At 39.2% G+C, this 3,513-nt stretch overlaps 1 annotated feature.

Moving 5' to 3' along the window:
- Positions 1,585–1,754: an enhancer, noted in NCBI's record as "experimental_13180 CRE fragment used in MPRA reporter constructs". NCBI's record gives its function as "activates a minimal promoter by MPRAs in K562 erythroleukemia cells, with activity observed for both the introgressed and non-introgressed 10:5300437 variant alleles {active_cell/tissue: K562}" and the evidence as "EXISTENCE:reporter gene assay evidence [ECO:0000049][PMID:34662402]".

Here is a 3,513-nt window from a genome sequence, read left to right on the forward strand (position 1 = left end):
ATGGGACCAAAAAAGAGCCTGCATTGCCAAGATAATCCTAAGCCAAAAGAACAAAGCTGGAGGCAACATGCTACCTGACTTCAAACTATACCACAAGGCTACAGTAACCAAACCAGCATGGTACTGGTACCAAAACAGAGATATAGATCAATGGAACAGAACAGAGCCCTCAGAAATAACACCACACACCTACAGCCATCTGATCTTTGACAAACCTGACAAAAACAAGAAATGGAGAAAGGATTCCCTATTTAATAAATGGTGCTGGGAAAACTGGCTAGCCATATGTAGAAAGCTGAAACTGGATCCCTTCCTTACACCTTATACAAAAATTAATTCAAGATGGATTAAAGACTTAAATGTTAGACCTAAAACCATAAAATCCCTAGAAGAAAACCTAGGCAATACCATTCAGGACATAGGCATGGGCAAGGACTTCATATCTAAAACACCAAAAGCAATGGCAACAAAAGCCAAAATTGACAAATGGGATCTAATTAAAGAGCCTCTGCACAGCAAAACTACCTATCATCAGAGTAAACAGGCAACCTACAAAATGGGAGAAAATTTTTGCAATCTACCCATCTGACAAAGGGCTAATATCCAGAATCTACAAAGAGCTTAAATTTATAAGAAAAAAAAATCATACAACCCCATCAAGAAGTGGGTGAAGGATATGAACAGACGCTTTTCAAAAGACAACATTTATGGAGCCAACAGACACATGAAAAAATGCTCATCATCACTGGCCATCAGAGAAATGCAAATCAAAACCACAGTGAGATGCCATCTCACACCAGTTAGAATGGCAATCATTAAAAAGTCAGGAAACAACAGGTGCTGGAGAGGATGTGGAGAAATAGGAACACTTTTACATTATTGGTGGGACTGTAAACTAGTTCAACCATTGTGGAAGACAGTGTGGTGATTCCTCAAGGATCTAAAACTAGAAATACCATTTGACCCAGCCATCCCATTGCTGGGTATATACCCAAAGGATTATAAATCGTGCTGCTATAAAGACACATGCACATATATGTTTATTGTGGCACTATTCACCATAGCAAAGACTTGAAACCAACCCAAATGTCCATCAATGATAGATTGGATTAAGAAAATGTGGCACATATACCCCATGGAATACTATGCAGCCATAAAAAAGGATAAGTTCATGTCCTTTGTAGGGACATGGATGAAGCTGGAAATCATCATTCATGAGCAAACTATCACAAGGACAGAAAACCAAACACATGTTCTCACTCATAGGTGGGAATTGAACAACGAGAACACTTGGACACAGGGTGTGGAACACCACACACTGGGGCCTGTCGTGGGGTGGGCAGAGTGGGGAGGGATAGCATTAGGAGATAGACCTAATGTAAATGACGAGTTAATGGGTGCAGCACACCAACATGGCACATGTATACATATGCAACAAACCTGCACATTGTGCACATGTACCCTAGAACTTAAAGTATAATAAAAAAAAGATATTCAGATTTAAAGAAAAGTTGAAAGAGTAGACCAATGAATACTTATTGTTAGACTATTATCACATTTAATACTTTTCCTTGTTTTCATTGAAACAATAAAAATAAGTGCAGACATCTTGAGTTTCCTCAGCCTGCATCTCCTATGGATAAGGACACTTTCCTGCATAACCACAACACTATTGTCACACCTTAGAAAGCTAACAATTTCCTAATATTGTCTAATAAACAACCCATGTTCCATGTTCAGATTTCCCCAGTCTTCCCCAAAATGTCCTTTTAGCTTTTAAAAAAGAATCAACTCAGAATCCAACCAAGGTTCATGAATTGGTTGTGTCTCTTTTGGCCTTTTAAATCTAGAATAATCCCTCCTTTTGGGGTGTATATGTTTCATGTCATTGACCTTTTTGAAGGATCTAGGACAGTTGTCTTGTAGAATGCTTCACAATCAGCATTTGCCTGTTTCCTTGTTTGCTTTCTATTTTGGGGGTTTTTTTCAGTGAACATTTTGAAATATACATACAGAAATGTGCTTAAGTTATAAATGTGTGGGTTTGTGAAAGTTTACTTTTCAGCCTCTGGGATTTTAAACTTTTGGCTACTTTGCAAACCCTTATCTCTGCACTTCTTTCTCCATTGCCTGTAGAGAACACCTATTGCCATGACAATTGCATGGCACTTTCCTACAGATCAGAGTGCTAAGGCTGGGCAGCATCCAATTTAGGCAGTTCCATTGTACTTATCTCAGATCCCCCACTGGGGTTTCAGTTAAAGAAGTTATTGTTCAGTTCCCCTTCTAAAAATGTTGCATTATATAATTATCCTGGCCTAGGAGATTTGGGTTTTTATACCATGTGAATGAATTGGCTATCAGGAAAGTCATTTTAAAGCTTTTGGTGATCTAATTCAATTGTTAAAACTGCTTTAATAACTAGGTTGTAGAAGACACAATATAGCAGGTCCTTGAGTAATGTTTTGCTCAATGTCTTTTTGTTACAATGTTGATGAGGAAAAAAAAAATCAATTCCTGGCTGGGGCCACTGTCAGTGGAGTTCACACTTTCTCCCCATGCCAGCGTGGGTTTTCTCTGGATGCTGCGGTTTGCTCCCACATTCCAAGGATGTGCACGTGAGGTTAATTGGTCCCATTCTGAGTGACTGTGGGCATAGATTATGAGTGCACCCTGCCATGGGATGGTGTCCTGTCCAGGTGTGCTTCCTACCTTGTGCCCTGAGCTGTTGGGATAGGTTCTGGCCACCCTTGGTCCTGAACTGTAATGAGCAGGTTGGAAAAGGAACAAATGAATAAATGCAAATTATTGTAAAATAAAAGTTTGTAAGGTCTACAATAATCCTACAAATGCATGACAATAAACGATATGGTATGAAAGTGCAAAAAAGAAAAAAACATTTCTGATAACCCTGAGTTGCCTTTTCCTCACGAATTGCAGAGTCTTTACTGAACTTTGTTTTGTTTGGTTAAATTCCCTATCAGAGTTTAAGCTGTATCCAGCTCCTCATAGTTTTCCTGTAAATAACTTTCTTCCCTTCCAGCAAAATGTTTTAAAACAAATACTGCCTTTTCTCAGTTGATACTTTTACATGGAAGGGCTCAAACATCCTTTATTTTTCTGGAACGTAACTCACTTGGTGCAGGAAAGAAGAAATTCATTATCCCCTCATCATCCCACCTGGTGGTTCCTTCTAGAGAAAACCTGCCAGGATTTTCTTCAATGCAGGTAGAAGAGTGACTTGAGAGTTGAGATTTGCTGAGAGGAGAGCAAATCTTGCTCAGTTCTTTAAGGTCTCAGTTACCCATGTTTCGCCGCATAGGTTAGCAGCTGTTACTGTTTAGTTTGGCTTTCATGAGATACAAAACAGGGAGCGAGTGAGATGGAGAAACAGTCCACCAATATTCAGAAACATGGAAAACTGGGCAGCAAAGGTGCTCAAAGAAATAAAGTATTATGATACAGATCAAGAAATATCACAAAGAACTAGCTCATACTCCAGGGAAGATCTGG

This window comes from Homo sapiens, chromosome 10 (genome assembly GCF_000001405.40).
Source record: "Homo sapiens chromosome 10, GRCh38.p14 Primary Assembly".
NCBI classification, from domain to species: domain Eukaryota; kingdom Metazoa; phylum Chordata; class Mammalia; order Primates; family Hominidae; genus Homo; species Homo sapiens.